Source organism: Homo sapiens, chromosome 10 (assembly GCF_000001405.40).
Source record: "Homo sapiens chromosome 10, GRCh38.p14 Primary Assembly".
Taxonomy (NCBI): domain Eukaryota; kingdom Metazoa; phylum Chordata; class Mammalia; order Primates; family Hominidae; genus Homo; species Homo sapiens.
In genome coordinates, this window is record NC_000010.11 from 60,114,964 (window position 1) to 60,134,993 (window position 20,030).

Below are 20,030 nucleotides of genomic sequence, written 5' to 3' on the forward strand. Positions count from 1 at the left end.
GTCACTGTTGTTGAACAGAAAAGCCAGGAGAGTTTTGGTGGAGATTTGGGTGGCCTCAAGCATGCTACAGTTTCCTGCTAAGAACATTTGCTGAATTCCGAAGCTGTGCAGAACAGGAAGCTCAAAACCTAACCAGAAATATCTCTGAAGAGCATAATGGAGATTTTTGGCAGTAATGAGAAAATGACTTAAAAGTTTAGAACTTATAATGGGAAGAGATTTGAAGATCATACAACGATTTTAAATAAGGATGCTGGTGTGCTGGGGGGAAACCAGAGGTAGTGTGAGCTTTCACCAGGGCTGCAGACCAGCCTCATTTCAGCAAAATCTTAATTGAATTAAAATTTACTATTCTATTTGCCTAGCAGAGGGAGGGCAAACATTCTGTGAAGGAATATATCACCATCGGGTGTGTCCACAATTTTTTATACACCATGTCTAGCATAAAGTGAAAAATTGCCAAGCATGGTCAGAGTGTGTGGATAAAACCAGAAAAATGAAATAAAACCAAACCAAGCTAGAGAGACACTATAAATAGACTCCCAGGCCATCCCGATTCTGAGGTAAGCTAATAAGTGCTTTATAATAACTATGATTAGTATGTTTACAAAAACACAGGGAAAGATAGAGAAAATAAATTAAATGGGATAGAATGCTAGAATATACATAAGAAGGAATCAAATGGGCATTGGTTCAGTGCTAAATACAATGTCAGTTCTTTACTTAGACACAATATAAAAGAGGGTTAAGTTAGAGCCCTAAATGGAAAAATATACAAAATGAAGGATAGGTTAAAAAAAAGAAAGAAAACAGTACAAGATGTGGAACATTGAGAGATTTTAACATAGGTGTAAATTGGACCCTTAGAAATAGAAGAGAAGAAGAGAATAAAGTAGAAGCTGTATTTGAAAAGATAATGGCTATGAATGTGCCAATGTGATAAAAGGTATTAGCCCACAGATCCCCCACAATCTGCTGCCTACTGAAACCTCAGTGAAATGACAGTCACATAGTTAAAAATACAGACACAGAAAGGACAGAGAGAATAAGAGAAAACACATCAGCAGAAAAACAGAAGGATTGGCTAGAATTCTCTTTAAAAAGTGATTTGACCTTCATAATCCCCTCAGTTGTCAAATAATGATCCCCTGCCATCACTACCACCAACCCTAGCAGAAGACTACAGGCAGGAGACTAGAAGGCTAGAGGCACCATATTGAAAATGGGGATTGTACACTGAATATTCAGAATCGCACCCTTCCTTTACTGGTCTCCCAGACACAGCTGGGGACAGAGTTCTAGGCAAAAAATGGGAAGTCTCTGAGGATTCTGACCTGCCCATTGGAATTTCCCAGTGAAATGTTCTGGCTTATTACTTCAGTGGAAATCATGGATAACAACCTCTACACCATACAGAGAGCTTCCAATGAGCTTATTAATGAGTAGACAGCTGACCGTCACTAGACTGCTGAAAAAAGCATCCAGTATAAAAACAAAACAAACAAGCAAACAGAAGGAAAGCAAATTGCAGGAAACAGGCTTTTCAGGGAGAAGAAAACTTAAAATTATTCATTAATATCTAGAGAGAGATGAGATATTTTTACACCTATGAAACAATAGACTACTTATTAAAAAAAAAAGAAACATTTAGGGAAAAATAACTCTTAGAAGTAACAAATATATTGAAAAAAACCTTAGAAAGTATAGAGAAATTTTTAACTCTAGAAAATAGGAGAGAAAATACAAGAAAGCAAAAGATAAGTTCAGGAGGTTCAAATCCTCCCCTCAGTCTAAAAAAAAAGAAGTCCTAGAAAGAAAAAAAATTGTGAACAAAGGAAAATAAATCAAGGAAACAATTTAAGAAACTTTTCCAGAGCCAAAGACAGAGGTTGCCAGCGTAAAATGACCCAGTGAGTGACCAACACTATGAATACAGAACCCATTATGGTACATCATCGTAACATTTCAGAATTCGGAGACAAAGACAGGGTCTATAAACATGGAGAGAAAAAATGGTCACAGATGGAGGGTCTGTGTCAGACTTTTAACAGCAAAACGTGAAGGTAAAAGGCAATAGAGCAATTCCTTTAACATGCTGACAGGAAATGACTTCAAGTCAGAATTCTATAACCAGCTAAATTAAAAACAAGTATAAACTAGACAGATATTTTCAGATATATAACACCTTAAAAAACATATTTCTCATGCACTCTCTGAGGAAACTAATGGAAGATGTACTCCACCAAAGTGAAGGACTGACCCAAGAAAAGGGAGGGCATGGACTCCAACACAAGAGAAAACAAAGGGAATTTTCATGGTTATGATGAAGGAAGACCCAAGAGCACATCTGTGTGCAGTGGACCTACAAGGAATATGACAAGTAAGAAAGCTCTAAGCGAGATGAGGTAAGTAGACGAGACACATAGATCACCTAATGAATGTGAACACATTGAGAGATTTGTACAACTGGGGGAGAGTTTTGGGGTTGGACTATTGATATGCACAGAGGACATCAAGCAAGTGAAAAAACTCCAGGGAAAATAAAATATTGTGCTGGAAAGAAAAAGCAATCAGGTCAGGCACGGTGGCTCATGACTAATCCCAGCACTTTGGGAGGCTGAGGCAGGTAGATCACTTGAGGTCAGGAGTTTGAGACCAGCCTGGCCAACATGGTGAAACCCCTTCTCTACTAAAAATACAAAAAATTAGCTGGGCGTGGTGGCACGTACCTGTAATCCCAGTTGGGAGGCTGAGGCAGGAGAATCGCCTGAACCCGGGAGGCGGAGGTTGCAGTGAGCCGAGATTGCGCCACTGCACTCCAGCCTGGGTGACAGAGCAAGACTCCGTCTCAAAAAAAAGAAAGAAAAAGCAATCATAATATAAGCCACATATGTGAGTAACATTTACACAGGCATAACAAGATAAGCATCAAATACAGATATAAGCAAAATAAATTACAACTGTTTGCGGAAATGGGAGGATACGAAGTGTGCATAGGGAGGAAAAGTGTGGAAAAAAAAGCTTCATCTTTCATTTGGGGAAGTCAATAAATAATTCCTGAAATGGAGAAAAATCAACAAGAACAATATACATGCAGTATTTAGAGATATCCAAGCACATCATACGAGTTATCAAAAATTATTCCAAGCACTCGTCTCTGGAAAGCAGAACTTGGGGACTGAAGGTGTATATGGGGATTATGTTTTTTCCTAACAAGTGTGTCTTGTAGAATGATGTGGCTTTTTATTTAATTGCATAACTTTGGTAATAATAAAATCTAAATTTAAAAACTTACTCTGAATTACACAGATTTTTAAAAAATAGCCCTGAAGTCAAATTGAAAAATAAATTTGTAGAGCAATTACATGCAAGTCACTATCTCACCCACATCCTAGGAAAATGCAAACATGAATGAGGAACAGCTTTATCTGCATTTAATGAGCGAGGACACATCTAGTGAATGGGTGTGCAATTAAGCTTCTAATAAGAATCTACGGAACCAAGATTCTAACCCGTCAAAAGCAATAAACCATTTAGGAAAGTTCCCAAATTCTATATGGATTAACCAAATATGAGGTGTTGGTTTCAGTCTGGCCTCATTTAACAACAACTTATACTGACTTTTGGAGACCCAAACCAACAAACCTTCAGAGTAGGGCAAAACACTTAATACAAAGTAGTGATGTTCCTTTAATTTTTTTGGCATGAGTGGAGTGGAGGGCAAGCTACAGTTCCTACACTGGGGAGCCTAAGGTTATTTTTCACAAAGGTTCATTTTTTTAAAAAAAGTTCTCATAAATAAATAATATCATTCCTCTTTGGTAATTACAGTAAATTATTTACCTTTGGTACTCTTAGAAACATGCACTGGTGCCATTAATTATTGAAACAATGAATTATGTCTCACAAAAAGGTATCACTGCAATCATGTAATATTTATCAAAGCCAGAGTGTGCCAGGACATGGATTCCACATCCCTCTGAGTCCTTTCTTAACTTCTTTAGTCTTGCAACTCTGCCACTCATTGAAGCTTTGTTGTAACACGAACAAATCTCATACTTGATCAAAACAATGAGCTATATATTATTTTGAGCTATATGTCCCAATATTTGTCCCAGATAGTAACACTTAAACATGTTTTTAGGTACCTTAGTGCTTTCTCTTCTGAGTTTTGTGGTTTCCTCAGGTTTATGAGCAGACGTAACTCAATTTTAATAACCTAAATACAGGGAAACAAAATACTCTTCCTATGGCGCATCCATCTAAATATAAAATGAAGCAATTCAATGGAACCTACGGTTTTATACATAGATACTGAATTGGTATTTCATTTCCATGCTACCTGTCTGCGAAGACTTACTCCTACAGATTAGAATCTACTTAAAACCGAAATATAAAATTTCAACTATTCACTTATGTTTGTTCTGACATGTTACTGTGCATAGCACCACAGTACTAACAAAAAAACTTTGCCTCTATTTAATTACTGAACAAATACACATTTAAAATGATTAACAGGGCCAGGTGCGGTGGTGGCTCATGCCTATAATCCCAACACTTTGGGAGGCTGAGGTGGGTGGATCACTTCAGGTCAGGAGTTCAAGATCAGCCTGGCCAATATGGTGAAACCCCATATCTATTAAAAATTCAAAAAGAAAACTAGACGGGTGTGGTGGCATGCACCTGTAATCCCATCTAATCGGGAGGCTGAGACAGGAGAATCGCTTGAACCCGGGGTACAGAAGTCGCAGTGAGCCGAGATCGTGCCGTTGCACTCTATCCTGGGCGAAAGAGCAAGACTTCATCTCAAAAAAATAATAAATAAATAAAAAGAAATAAAATGATTAACAGAGATTCCATGTTCATGGATTGGGGGAATCAATAGTGTTAAATATTGTTAAATATTTAACAGTATGTCCATACTGCCCAAAGTAATCAAAGGATTCAATGCAATCTCTATCAAAATAATGATATTCTTCACAGAAATTTAAAAAAAAATCCTAAAATGTATGTGGAACTACAAAAGACTCAGAACAGCCAAAGCTATCCTAAGTAAAAAGAACAAAACTGGAAGAATCACATTATCTGACTTTAAATTATACTACAGAGATATAATCACCAAAACGGCATGGTGCTGGGAAAAAATCAGGCACATAGATCAGTGGAACACAATATAGAACCCAGAGATAAATCCATACATCTACAGTGAACTGATTTTTGACAAAGGTGCTAAGAACGTACATTGGAGGAATAATAGTCTCTTCAATAAATGATGCTGGGAAAATCAGATAGCCATATGCAAAAGAATGAAACTAGGCCCCTATCTCTCGCCATATACAAAAATCAAATCAAAATGAATTAAAGACTTAAATCTAAGACCTCAAACTATGAAACTACTAAAAAAAAATACATTAGGGAAACTCTCCGGGACATTGAACTGTGCAAAAATTTCTTGAGTAATACCCCACAAGCACAGGCAACCAAGGCAAAAATAGACAACTGGGATCACATCAAGTTGAAAAGCTTCCGCACAGCAAAAGAAACAATCAGCAAAGTGAAGAGACAACCCACAGAATGGGAGAATGTATTGACAAACTCTCCATCTGACAAGGGATTAATAACCGGAATATATAATGAGCTCAAACAACTCTCTAAGGAAAAAAAAAATCTAATAATCCAACTAAAAATAGGCAAAAGAACTGAATAGACATTTCTCAAAAGAAGACATACAAATGGCAAACCGGTATGTGAAAAAGTCCTCAACATCACTGATCATCAGAGAAATTTAAATCCAAACCAGAATGAGATATCATCTCACCTTAGTTAAAATAGCTTTTATCCAGAAGTTAGGCAATAACAAATTCTAACCAGGATTTGGAGAAAAGGGAACCCTCTTACACTGTTGGTGGGAATGTAACCACCACAGAGAGCAGTCTGGAGGTTCCTCGAAAAACTGAAAATAGAGCTACCATGCTATCCAGCAAGCCCACTGCTAGGTATATACCCAAAAGAAAAGAAGTATATCAAAGAGACATCTGCACGCCCATGTTTATTGCAGCACTATTCACAATAGCCAAGATTTGGAAGCAACCTAAGTGTCCATCAACAGATGAATAGAAATAGAAAATACATACACAATGGAGTATGTACACGCAACGGAGTACTGTTCAGCCATAAAAAAGAATGAGAGCCTGTCATTTGCAACAACATGGATGGAACTGGAGGTAATTATGTTAGCTAAAATAAGCTGGGCACAGAAAGACAAATTTCTCATGTTCTCACTGATTTGTGAAAGCTAAAAATTAAAATAATTGAGTTCATGGAGATCGAAAGTAGAAAAATTGTTACCAGAGGCTGGGAAGGGTAGTGAGGGAGTGCAGGGGGTGGAGGGTAGTGGGAATGGTTAAAATGCACCAAAAAAAAAAAAAAAAAGGAAGAATGAATAAAGGCAGGGTGCATGGCACATGTCTGTAATCCCAGCACTTTGGGAGGTCAAAGTGGGCAGATGACTTGAGCTCAGGAGTTTAAGACCAGCCTGGGCAACATGGCAAAATTCCATCTCTATAAAAATTGCAAAAAAGAGCCAAGCGTGGTGGTGTGTGCCTGTAGTCCCAGCTACTTGGAAGGCTGAGGAGGGAGGATGGCTTGAGCTGGGAGGTGGAGGTTGCAGTGAGCCAAGGTAGTGCTACTGCACTCCAGTCTAGGTGAGAGGGCCAGACCCTTTCTCAAAAAAAAAAAAAAAAGTATAAGACCCTAGTATTTGGTAGTACAACAGAGTGACTACAGTCAAAAGTAATTTAATTGTACATTGTAAAATAACTAAAAGTACATAATTGGATTGTTTGTAGCACAAAGGACAAATGCTTGAGGTGATAGATACCCCATTTGCCATGATGTGATTGTGCACTGCATGCCTGTATAAAAATATCTCATGTCACCCATAAATATATATGCCTACTATGTATTCACAAAAATTTTAAAATAAAAATGATAAACAGGATACCACATATGATGATGGTTAAAGATGAACTAGACCTGACTTTTAAGTTTTCTCAGCAAGGAGGGGTGTTGCCTGGGCTCAATGGAAAAGCTTGGCTTTGAAGTTGAGTCACAGACTTAGATTTGGAAATTGCCTTTGCCACTTGTTAATGAAAACACTTCTTTCCCACTCCCGATTTTTCCAGTTTGAAAAGACAACCCAGTTGTGTAACTATGGGCCTCTCCCTACCCCTTTATATTCATTTTAGCCCTGGAAATTAAAGTGATGTATCTGAATGATAGATTTGGGAAAGGTAGCCAGGAAGGTTCTGCTCAGATCCAGTTTTCAATCTATGGGCACAGAGAGTGAGCAGTCTCCTCTTCTCTCCAAAGCCTACTTCTGCAAAGAGTGTGCCTGGCCTGGGCCAGCACCACAGTCATTGGGTAGGGGAGTGTGCCTATCTCAGGGATTCAGTTAGCAGGCCCACGTGGCTCAGACACTAAGCCAGTCCTCGCCTGGCCTCCATCAGGAATAAAGGAGATATTTTGTCATTGACCTTTCCTTATCTTTACTTATTGAAAGCTCCTTCAGAGATGCCCCAGCATCACCTGCTGGTTTTGTGATCATTAGCAGATTACTCAACTTTTTTCAGTCTTAGTTTCTGCATTTTCAAACTGGGGATGGTTGATATGGAGATAAAAGAAAACATATACGTCAAAGTCTGGCACCAATGCAGTGCTGGTGTTGGCATGGAATTATCATAATGTCTCCTTATATGTGTAAAGCCTTCTATACTTTTCAAAAGACTTTCACTTATATTAGCTCATTTGTCACAATCTGATCATTTATGGTGGAAAACAGCAAAAATAAAAATATTCCAGTCCCAGCACTGGGGCATTATAGTAATACACATAGGATGCTTTTATCAAACCAATGGAGGCCATTCAAGAATGCATCTTATCAATGCCTAGGTCTTATTATTGACTCAAAATATTTACATTCCTTTGTTAACAGCACTACCACAACTTACTGTGCATCAGTTCAATGGTAAGGACTGACCTAGGCCCATACATTCATTTTTTGTTTGAGTTGTCAGAACCTATTAGCCCTGAGAGTAATGGAGCCATTTGACAGATGAGGAAAATGAGGTTTAGAAAGACTTCAAAAACTAGGCAATACGAAGTCAACACCTAGCACTGGGTGGCTTTAATAGAACACTATGTTAAAGAAAAATTCACACGGAATTTTTAATAATTTTTATTCCCATGTCAAAGATAATATGAATAAGCACATTACTTTTCATTTTGGAAGTGATGTCAAGGATTATTCAACTGAAAATGCACATTATTTAATGGAGTCCAAAGCCTGACTAATGATGATATCACCGTCTCCAAGAGCTTAATACTTTCCAAAAATAGTTTCTCACTAGTCCTATTCATCAGAGCAAAGAGGAGAACAAGTACACACTGGCCTTACAAACAAGGACACACCCAAATGCCCAGGTCTGGAAATAATTGTCCAGGCAGGGAAGGAAAGAGGCAGGGTCAAGAAAGTGTTTGCAAGAGAGAGAGAAAAAAAGGAGAAATCCAATTAACTCCAATATTAGTAATTCTCTACGTTGCTGACTGTCAACCTCCAGTGTTAGATGACATGAGTTAAGGTCCAGAACTAACCCTGCAAGTTTCCTTATCTAACAGCTCTACCATCTATGGGTGAAGGTGGTCTTGCAAATTAACTGGTAGCCTTGACAGGCTAATGTTAACAGCAACCAGGAAATCTCCCAATAACAGGTCACATGCAACACTCAGTGCAACAATTCTGGGAGATTGTAAATACAATTTAGTTTAGTAACAGTTGGATGATACAATCAGACTAGGAGCCACAGAAAGTAAAGGGCTATCAGGGATAACTTCACTCTACGGCCACAACTTGGACAGGGCCAAGGCAGAGGAAGTCATGTGGGTGTCAGTTCCCCACACGAAGAATAAGATGACTTGGGTTTGAATCAGGCTCTGTCACTCCATAGCCCAGTGACTGGCAAGTCAAAAAACTCACTGAATCTCCATTTCTGCATTAGGGTGACAGGTAGAAAATATTAATTGCCCTGATTCACTGTGAGAATGGAATGACCCAAGTAATGTGAAAGTGGCTTGAAAACTCTAAATTACCATGCAAACAAAAACACAGATGATGCTAATCTCATACCCCTAGATATTTATTTATTTTATTTTTTGAGACAGAGTCTCACTCTGTCGCCTAGGCTCAAGTGCAGTGGCGCTATCTGTGCTGGCTCACTGAAACCTCTGCCTCCTGGGTTCAAGCAATTCTCCTGCCTCAGCCTCCCCAGTAGCTGGGATTACAGGCATGTGCCACCACGCCCAGCTGATTTTATTTTATTTTTTTTTGTATTTTTAGTAGAGATGGGGTTTCACCATGTTGGCCAGGCAGGTCTCGAACTCCTGGCTTAACTGATCTACCCACCTTGGCCTCCCAAAGTGCTGGGATTACAGGAATGAGCCACTGTGCCCAGCCTACCTCTAGATTTTTAATAATTGAAGATAATTTATTTCTTATATTTCTATAATGTTGCATCCCTCTATGTAGATATTTAGGATAGCATATCCTTTTCACATCACAGGGAGAAGTCAGAGCTGCCTGCTGGATTAACAGAAATAATAGTGGTGTTTTTGCTTTGCAAAATACTTGTCTACGCATCGATTCTTCCCATGGCTAACATGCTTTACTCAGATCTGCTATGCTTTGCTTATTAGAGTGGCACTATTGCCTAGTGGCCAGCAGGAGAATGGGTTTAAGCACCCATCAGGTTTACAGTCCATTCTCAGCTCTACCGCCTAATAGCTGTGGACAAGCTATTTAACTGGACAAGCTAAACACTCCTCACAGCCCTAGTCTCCTCGTCTGTAAAGTGGTAATCATAATACCCCTTCCATTAGGTAGCCAAAAGCACGAAATGAGATGATGCATTTAATAAAATATTGTGGCAGGTAGTGTATTAAGTATTATAATTATTGTGACGTGCAGTGGATATTGAGTGAAATGGCAAACCGCGACCCAAATAGATAGTAGTAGGTTTAAACATCCAGCACTACTACATGGAAACACTTTTAAGAAATGGATTCCATAAAAGGAAACCTGACACAAGTAGTAAAATAAAATAAAAATTAAAGGCCTACTATAATAGAAAAAGCAGGTCTTTTTTCCCTTACGGTATTTATTTTCTTGAAGTCAACTATTATTACTCTTAAGACTTATTTTGAGAATAGCATATAAAGAAATTTCGTTCATTAAATTTCCGAATTGGATTGATTTCAAGACAATCTGGTTATGAACTCGAACAAAAGAAGGTGAATCAAGGTCAGAGTGGAAGCTGAGCGTGTCAACACCCAGCTTGAGACATCAAAACTAACTGCACTACCTTAAGGAAGTCACAATACCAACTTCTCTGCCTTAAAACAAAAAATCTGTAATCTTGCTGACCAATTGTTGAGAGGTGTTGAATGCATCACCTGAATAATGCTGGCAAAGCACATTGAAGAGAGAAAGCAGCATATTAAATGTCACCAGTCAAAGATGCCTATCTTCTAGGGGGACTATCTCTAGCAAATCTTTAATCTGAGGCTGGCTACCTTCTGCCACCATGCACGTTTCTGAGCACCCCCCTTAGAAATTAGCTTATGTGAAAGAAATAGCAAGGTTAATCTGCCGACGGGTGTGGGAGATGGGGGTGGGAGTGTGGGTGGAATAGGGTTGAGAGGTAGAGGAGGAAAATCTGACTGTTAGCATAGGCAGTCTTTTGGGTTAGGTATTCTTCTCCCTTCCTATTACTGAGGTAATTGAAAATGCTTGGATCTTGAAAATACGAGCAGGAAGTTTCTTCTGAAGAATGCTCCAATTTTCACACTACTTGCTAACATATCAAATTGTACATTACACATTATATGACTAAATGTATATGAAATCATCCTTAGCCTCAAAAAAGACCAAGTCCAATCCAAAGGAACCAGAATCCTTGGCTGTGAAATAAATGAGAAGAGTTATGGGGTGGAAGATGTGACAGCAGCCTTCCTGTACATGATGGCTATAATGAGGCCTCCAATATCACTTACAGAATTTTCTCCACAGTCAGCATTCAAACAGCCAGTGCAACTGTTGACATCATAGTCTAGTTAAGTCTTCTAAACCAGTCACTATTGAAGGCCTGCCACTAGTCCCCTCAGGAACAAACCATGTAGGCAAATCTGGTCTGAAAAGGAAGTCTTCAAAAGAAAGAAATCTACTCAGAGAGAGAACAGGGCCAAACAGCTGTCCCATTCCTCTCTTTTCACAGATGCACTGCCCCTAAGTCAACAGAACTACAAGGAAATGGAAGGTGTTCATTTTAGAGTGATCAATTGGCAAGGGGCTCCTTTCTAAAGTTTTTGTTTAGAAATACCCAAGTTTATCCAGGTGTGGTGGCTCACGCCTGTAATCTCAGCACTTTGGGAGGCAGAGGCGGGTGGATCACATGAGGCCAGGAGTTTGAGACCAACCTGGCCAGTATGGTGAAACTCCATCTCTACTAAAAATACAAAAAAATTAGCGAGGTGTGGTGGTGCATGGTTGTAATCCTAGCTACTGGGGAGGCTGAGGCATGAAAACTGCTTGAATCCGGGAGGTAGAGGTTGCAGTGAGCTGAGGTCATGCCACTGCACTCCAGCCTGGGTGACAGAGTGAGACTCCGTCTCAAAAAAAAAAAAAGAAAAGAAAAAAGAAATCCCCAACTTTATAGCATTCTCTTAAATCATAGTTCCTCATTTTCTCTTTTGTTAATATTGGATTTACTTATTTCTAGAGAGAAAGCATAAAATAATAGAATCTCAAGGTTGAATGGCACTTTAAGATGCTAGACGTTTTATGTTCCCATTGATATGTGGTTGTTCCTACCAGGTTTCATTACCACCAATAGCAACCACATTAGTAATGACAGAAAACCAAACTGAACTGGTTTAAGATACTCCCTTTCCAGGGATGGGGGAAGACTGAAATTAAATTGCTGGTTTATATGGCAAGAAAATCTGTATGGTGCTAACTTCAAGGTCGGTTGAATCCAGCTCAAATGATGGTAGGAATCATTGGTCTTCACATTCTACTCCCAGCAGCTTTGGACGTATGTCATCTTTATAGCTTAGGAACCCCAGTAGAGTTTCTCTTTCCCAAAAGGTTAGACAAAGTCTCAAATTTGAGTCTCACTAGATGGGCTCAGATTTCACTTTTTATCCTAAAGTAATTGCTGTAATCCAGGAGATAGGAATGCTCTGAACGGCCAGAATTGGGTCTCACTGTTGCAGAACAGGAGGGACTTATGCCCCTTCTAAACAACATTAGCTGAGAAATGGGTGGGGTTAGGGATTCGACCATCAGATCCAGGCACTGCCACGGAAATGGGTATATGTGGAAAGCCAAATGGGTGTATGCAGGCAAAACCAACCGACATCGATAAGTGACTTATGCTTTTCTCCCATCTTTGAATGACTCTATAAAAAATCATACTGAATTACATGTTTCTGCCTACAGTATATACATACCTTTTAGTCTTACAACTAATTCTGGTGTCATTTAAAGGAAGATAAACTAATTGGTTAGCCTGCTAAATATTTGTAAACTGATGTCATGCCTTCTACCTTTTATCTGTCTGAAGGTCAAATAGTTCCATTCCTGTAATGATGCCTTCCATGCCATAATTTTTAGTTTTTCATACTTTTTTTTTTTTTTTGGAGACAGAGTCTCGCTCTGTCTCCCAGGCTGGAGTGCAGTGGTGCGATCTCGGCTCACTGCAACCTCCACCTACTGGTTCAAGCGATTTTCCTGCTTCAGCCTCCCAAGTAGCTGGGATTACAGGAACGTGCCACCATGCCCGGCTAATTTTTTGTAGTTTTAGTACAGACGGGGTTTCACCGTGTTAGCCAGGATGGTCTCGATCTCCTTACCTCGTGATCTGCCCACCTTGGCCTCCCAAAGTGCTGGAATTACAGATGTGAGCCACCGCGCCCGGCCAGTTCTTCATACTTTTTATAATTGTTACTGAATATGTCAGTTCTTTTTAAAGCACATTGAATAAATAAAAGACTTTATTAGGATTAGAAATAAACGTTAACAAAGAACACTGTCTAAATATAATCTTTCATGCTAAAAAATACATCACGATGGTGGTTCTGTGGCCCAACCAAGAATACTAGCAAGTATAAAATCCTGGAGGAGAGACTATAAATTACGTGGACTCCTCAAGGGCCTTTTTCTTGCACTGAGCAATGCAGATGTAGAGTGTTCAGGATAAAATGAGGCAATCTGGAGCCAGATGGCCAGTGACTCTGCCACTTACAAGCTGTGTCCCCGGGGGTGAGTTACTCATGCTCTCTGTGCCTCAGTTTCTTCATTTTTTTTCTTTTTTTTTTTTTGAGATAGGGTCTCACTATCTTGCCCAGACTGGAGTGCAGTGGCGCAATCTCAGCTCACCGCAACCTCTGCCTCCCAGGCTCAAGAGATTCTCCTGCCTCAGCCTCCCGAGTAGCTGGGATTACAGGCGTGCACCACTACCACTCGGCTAATTTTTGTATTTTTAGTAGAGACAGGGTTTCACCATGTTGGCCAGGCTGGTCTCGAACTTCTGACCTCAAATGATCCACCCACCTTGGCCTCCCAAAGTGCTGGGATTACAGGTGTGAGCCACCGTGCCTGGACTCTTCATCTTTTTAATGGGGTTAACAAATTATTTCATAGGGATATTGTGAACTATAAACAACTTAATACTGCTAAATCACTTAGAATAGTTCCAGGCATATAATAGGAGCTCAAAATTAGCTGTTTTCACCACCACCATAAGTGTTACCACCATTATATCTCCTGACACTGAAGGTATCTAGTGAATAGCATTCCATTTATGTAATGAGCACTGTCTAATCTGGATCACACACAGTAATGTGTCTTAAGTACATTAGCTGTACCAGACAGTTGCTTTCAATAATTACATCAGAAGAAATGAAAGCACCATGCTATTACATTCATCCCAGACAATCAGGCTTCAGTTTAGACTCATCCCTTTATTTATTAAATCCTATTTGGAGAGGAATGGAATGTTTCCAAGCACAGGTGTTGCTCTCAGACAATCTGACACATACAAATCTGAGCTTATAAAACAAATACATTAGATGTTGACATACCAATACACACCAAGCTTCCAGTGAGAGTTGCCTTAAATCGGCAGTTACTAACTAAAGGTACACCTTAGAATTGTCAGGGGAACCCTTAAAAATACATATGCCCAAGAACCCAGACATGGAAATTCTGATTCTGCAGGCATCTTGCTTTTAAAAGAGCCACAGGTAATTCCATTGGGCACCCCCAGTTAAGAATACTGACTATGAATCAGTGGCTTTCAACCTTGGGTTCATTTAGAATTGCATGCCCAGTCTCTACACAGGCCAAAGAAATCAGGAACTGAGCAATCGTCTTTTTAAAAGTTCTCCAGGTGGCCGGGCATGGTGGCTCACACCTATAATCCCAGCACTTTGGAAGGACAAGCTGGGCGGATCACTTGAGGTCAGGAGTTCGAGACAAGCCTGGGCAACATGGCAAAATTCCGTCTCTACTAAAAAATACAAAAATTAGCTGGGCATGGTGGCACATGCCTGTAATTCCAGCTACTAGGGAGGCTGAGGCACAAGAATCACTTGAACCCAGGAGGTGGAGGTTGCAGTGAGCTGAGATCACGACACTGCACTCCAGCCTGAGTGATAGAGTGAGACTCTGTCACACACACACACACACACAAACACACACCCCAAAGTTCTCCAAGTGATGCTCGTAAGTGGTCTGGATTGAGCCATTGCTTTAAATAAAAAGATCTTTTGACAAATCCAAGACATGATTTCATTTACATATACATTTTCAAAAACATATCTTCAGGTAATTTTTGGCTAACAGAATTCTTTCATGTTTTCTGATGAAATTATTGCTGTGGAAAGGCTACATTTTGAAATTTATAAATACAGAGTTAGAGGAATGAAAGACAAAAACTAATGATTTTGTGTCACTTAATTCTAATAGAAAATGTTTAAATGCACTTCTGAAGTAAAGGGAAGGTAAAAGAATAGGAAGTTCATGATAACCTGTAACAAAACAGTCTACTGTTGATTGTCCAGGAGGGAATTAAGTGGATTAGGACTAAGTACTCAGGCTCAACAGGGGGTGGAGATGGCTCCACCTCTCCCACTCCCCTCCCCCAGCTCTGGCCTCCACATGTGCCTTCAGCCAGCACAGGTCCCTAGAGGGTGAGGTGGCAGTCCTGCACTAATCACCCTGGGTCTCAACTACACTTTAACTGTGGTTAATATGCAAACTGATTAATCAGCAGGATAATAAAGAGGCAACTGTACTTTGTATGAGTGAGATCTACTCATTGAAAAAGAGAAGTGTATGAGAGTTCATTTTTACTCATTTTTCACCTTTACTTGTCAGGGCAAATTTAACTGGGCAATGACAGTGCAGTTTTAAATCTGACAGTAAGTTATATGTCATTGCTTTGGGAATTCTAAATACTGAAAACTTCTTTCACGCTTTCCAACAAAATTATTACTGTGGAAGAGCTATATTTTGAACATTATAAATACAAAATTAGAGAAATGAAAAACAGAAACTAATAATTTTGTCATTTAATCCTAAAGTGTTTAAATGCACTTCTGAAGTAAATGCTTCCCATGAGTCTTGCACAGTGTATCTAGACACTTCTGTCTGCCAGCTTCTTCTTTGAGCAATTAGCCTTTTCCTTCTCCTCTGTATCTATAATTTTATTTATCTATAATAATAGACAGAGATGCATTAGCTTTTTTTAGTCTCAAAACTAGAGACTTAAAAAGTTAATGCACCTCTTTCAGGATTTTTCCTCCTTCCTCCAAGTTACTATTTTGAAATTGTTCACACAAATGAAAAAGTTGAAAAACTGTATAAAAAATACCCATGTACCTTCCACCTGGATTCAACAATTAACATTGCTATATTTGCTTTAACTTTATCCACATGCATTTTGGCTGAACTATTTGGAAATAAATAGTTGAATTAATGATTGCTTAATTCTGGAAAACTTCAGCATGCATACCCCAATATTCTCTGAGTAGGTCCAATAAGTAGCAGTGATAAGCTAAGAAAATTATCAATGCTAAAATTATCACTGCTAAGAAAATGATCAATGATTTCCTACATACACAGATATCTCCAAGACATTTTCAAATGCCCCCAACAGTCCCTAAAATGTCTTTATGACTCTCATTTCCCGCTCTGAAATCTCCTGCCAATTTATTCTGGATTTGCATGGATCTGAGTAGTGTTATATGCTTATTAAACATGCTGGTTCCACAAGGAATGCCTATGTGGGTATTCTGTGCTCATTAAAGACAGCAACTTTCTGTTTCTACATTATCAACTTAAAGTTTATTTTGAAAGATTTTCAGATGTCCTATGCTCTCCTTTCCTCTGATGGGTCTATAGAAGTGTTCATGATGTCCACAGAGGTATTTTTGAGTTGGAAGCAACAACTGACTACAAGAGCATCAGTTTCATCTCAAAACTTCTCTTTGTCTTCTATTTCTGTTCACAAATCCTTAGTTCTGAGTAAATGCTGCCCCCACAGTCTACCTGAGTAAGTAGGTCTTGGTAATGGTTAATAGGCAATGGTGTGAGAACCCTCAGAAGCCATTTTATAGCACCACAAACACTTGCATTTTACTTCAATGTTGATGTGCAGAAGGTGGGTGGTAGAGTAACTATGGTGGTAATAGTGGTGGTGGTAGCAGTGGTGGAGGTGACAGTGATGATGGTAAGGTCATGGTGATGGTGGTGGTGGTTCCAATTTCGGGCCCTTGACCCATAGCAAGTTAATATGCAGAAATATAAGCCACAATTAGGTTTGATCAGAAATTCCCTGGCACATGCTTTCTACATTAGCAAAGTGTCATTGATACCTGGGGAGTCTCCTTTCACCTGTGATTTTACGTTTTGTGGGGTCTCCTTAGAGTGTAGAGAATAACAGGCATTTTTATACTTACAAGTGGTATCAATATCTCCACTGCCATCTCATTTCAATTGGGAATATGAAAAGAGCAGGATTACAGACTGAAATAATGACCACAGCCAACCAAGCAGAAAATTTCAACCAATTCCTGGCAACACCTTATACCCAAGACTTAGTTTCATTATTTGAGACAAGTGCTTTCTCTAGTGCTAATACCCATTTAAAACCCATGACATGCTATTGCACTGAAATGGTTTGGCTGTGTCCCCATCCAAATCTCATCTTGAATTGTAGCTCCCACAATTCTCACCTGTTGTGGGAGGGACCTGGTGGGAGGTAATTGAATCATAGGGGCAGGTATTTCCCGTGCTGTTCTCGTGATACTGAATAAGTCTCACAAGATCTGATGGTTTTATAAGGGGGAGTTACCCTGCACAAATTCTCTTCTTGCCTGCCACCATGTAAGATGTCTCTTTCTCTTCCACAATAATTGTGAGGCCTCCCCAGCCATGTGGAACTGTGAGTCAATTAAACCTCTTTTCTTTATAAATTACCCAGTCTCTAGTATGTCTTTATTAGCAGTGTGAGAACAGACTAATACATGCACCTATAATCAATTTTTTTTTTTTTTGACAGAGTCTCGCTCTGTTGCCCAGGCTGGAGTACAGTGGTGCAATCTTGGCTCACTGCAAACTCTGCCTCCCAGGTTCAAGCAATTCTCCTGCCTCAGCCTCCCGAGTAGCTGAGATTACAGATGCCCACCACGACACCTGGCTAATTTTTGTATTTTTAGTAGAGACGGGGTTTCACCACGTTGGCAGGCTGGTCATGAACTCCTGACCTTAAGTGATCTGCCTGTCTTGGCCTTCCAAAGTGCTGGGATTACAGGTGTGACCCACCATGCCCAGCCTATAATCATTTTTAATAGAGTTTTTTTGTCTGACCAAACACTGAATAACCACTGTATTCACCTCTGTAAGGCCTGCTTATTAAGAATGTTCTAGAGAGTAAAAAGTAATAAAATATATATTGTAGGTTCCTATGAAGTACAACACACATATGTAGGTCTAGACATCAGCATCTGCAGACATGTGGGAGTCCCAAAAGTCTACCTATTGCTTAACTTCTAACTTGGCTATGATATGTGACTATCATTTATTCATCTGCTCCAATTCACGTTCATTGTGCAGTAAGTCAAAAAGCCCAGCATGATTTCACCAATTATTTACATTGTTTAAATATTATAAGCCACCTTTAAAAGTTTTATTGTCCAGATAGTTTCATCTGTCATTAAATCACTACTGTGCATACTTAAAGCCAGGTATTATCTGTGTAGTAATTATTCCAGGACCATCCTGAGCCCACATGCAGGAAGACTGTGTTACTGGAACTTCTTATAGTAACCCGCTATCTATTCAACCACAATTATTGGAAGAAAACAATTACACAAACACCAAATGCATGTAGCAGAGATTCTGGTAGAAAGCAAAATACTATCACATCTTCAGACACCCATCAAAGGCAGCTTTGAAGCTAAGGGAACAAAAAATGACCAGTCTCATCTTTACTTACTAAAAACAATTCTAACAAATTCCAACATAGATACACAGTTTGTTTAGCAAAATACAACATTCAGGCTGGGTGCGGTGGTTCACACCTGTTCCCAGCACTTTGGGAGGCCGAGGCAGGTGTATCACTTAAGGTCAGGAGTTCTAGACCAGCCTGGCCAACATGGTGAAACCCCGTCTCTACTAAAAATACAAAAATTAGCTGGGTGTGGTGGTGCGCCTGTGGTCCCAGCTACTTAGGAGGCTGAGGCATGAGAATCACTTGAGCCCAGGAGGCAGAGGCTGCAGTGAGCTGACATCATGCCACTGCACTCCAGCCTGGGTGACAGAGACTCTGTCTCCAAAAACAAACAAAAACATTCATGAGGTTAATACCAGCAACTTCAGCTACCAATGATTATTAACTCTCCTTTTAAAAAACTGAAATAGATTTGACCTAGAGAAGAGAAAGGTAACTACACATCTCCTAGGACTTTCTGAGTTCCTCTCTGATATTCCTATCTTCCTCACCTGCAGAAGACAGGAATATTTCTGCTTATAGTACAACTTATTTTTTTTTAACTGGCTAGTACCAGAAGATTTACAAATGTAAAATCAAACATGCAGAAATATATTTTTTGTCACAAGACAGAGAGCTTGATTAAATCATACAAATGTAAGTTTAATGGTCAAAGGCTATTTTGAAAAGAATGCATACCTGCTCTTTGGATGGCACAAGGAGTTCTTCAATCATCATGCTGTCCCGTGCATAGGAGCTTCTGTTCAAGGTGTAAGACCTATCCGAACTGAAGGAGCGGAGGCTGTTGTATTTACAGTTAACCATTCAACAGTGGTAGATGATGATGAGATGAATAAAAAAAAATTAATGCATGCAACTTTAAGAACAGGCAAGATGGCTAAAAATATCAACAAAAGTTGTTCTTGAAAGGACATAGTGAAAAGTAAAATCCCTTGTATTTGAGAAAATGTCTTCAGTGTAGACAACCTTATGATTAGAATTTGTTTAAAATTAGGCCAATTTTGAGAATATGAAATGCATGAAAACTTTGGATGTTTCACTATGAAGTTGAACTGACATGACAATTGAGAAGAACCAGATGATTCTAGATAGTTGACAGATTTTTCTAGGATGAGATCTTATGTTAGAATGTCTCCTCTTTCTGGTCTATGTCTACTTGACATGCGCTACTGATAAGAATTATGTCTACTTTAAATGGGTCTGTTTATAAGTCTTTGGGACTTACTGAGAACTCTGGTTTGTTGTTGCTACTCATAGAAAACATCAAGAAGGAAGTAGTGTTATGAATACACTTTGCATGATCCTTTTTGCCATCTTCCTGGCTTTGAGGAAACATTCATATTCCCTGCATGGTTATTTGGTCTTTTCTGCAAATATTCTTTCTTTGCTCTACTGTTGTCT

At 39.3% G+C, this 20,030-nt stretch overlaps 1 protein-coding gene across 5 annotated transcripts in view, besides 3 other annotated features; it reads right to left on the reverse strand.

The window, feature by feature from the left end:
* Positions 1–20,030, reverse strand: part of ANK3 (ankyrin 3) — a 707,231-nt gene that overhangs the window by 88,666 nt on the left and 598,535 nt on the right. For all 5 annotated transcript variants that reach the window (NM_001204403.2, NM_001204404.2, NM_001320874.2 and 2 more), the window contains one exon: positions 19,308–19,410. In NM_001204403.2, coding sequence (NP_001191332.1) covers positions 19,308–19,410 — 103 coding nt within the window. The remainder of the gene's footprint in view (positions 1–19,307; positions 19,411–20,030) is intronic.
* Positions 14,474–14,659: a silencer, noted in NCBI's record as "fragment chr10:61889195-61889380 (GRCh37/hg19 assembly coordinates)". NCBI's record gives its function as "represses an EF-1alpha promoter that drives an FKBP-Casp9 reporter gene in an ReSE screen in K562 erythroleukemia cells {active_cell/tissue: K562}" and the evidence as "EXISTENCE:reporter gene assay evidence [ECO:0000049][PMID:32094911]".
* Positions 14,958–15,533: an enhancer, noted in NCBI's record as "OCT4-NANOG hESC enhancer chr10:61889679-61890254 (GRCh37/hg19 assembly coordinates)". NCBI's record gives its function as "activates a minimal SCP1, AML or CMV promoter by ChIP-STARR-seq in naive H9 embryonic stem cells {active_cell/tissue: H9 hESC(naive)}" and the evidence as "EXISTENCE:reporter gene assay evidence [ECO:0000049][PMID:30033119]".
* Positions 15,108–15,402: an enhancer, noted in NCBI's record as "tiled region #4517; K562 Activating DNase matched - State 5:Enh". NCBI's record gives its function as "activates a minimal TATA promoter and a strong SV40 promoter by Sharpr-MPRA in K562 cells {active_cell/tissue: K562}" and the evidence as "EXISTENCE:reporter gene assay evidence [ECO:0000049][PMID:27701403]".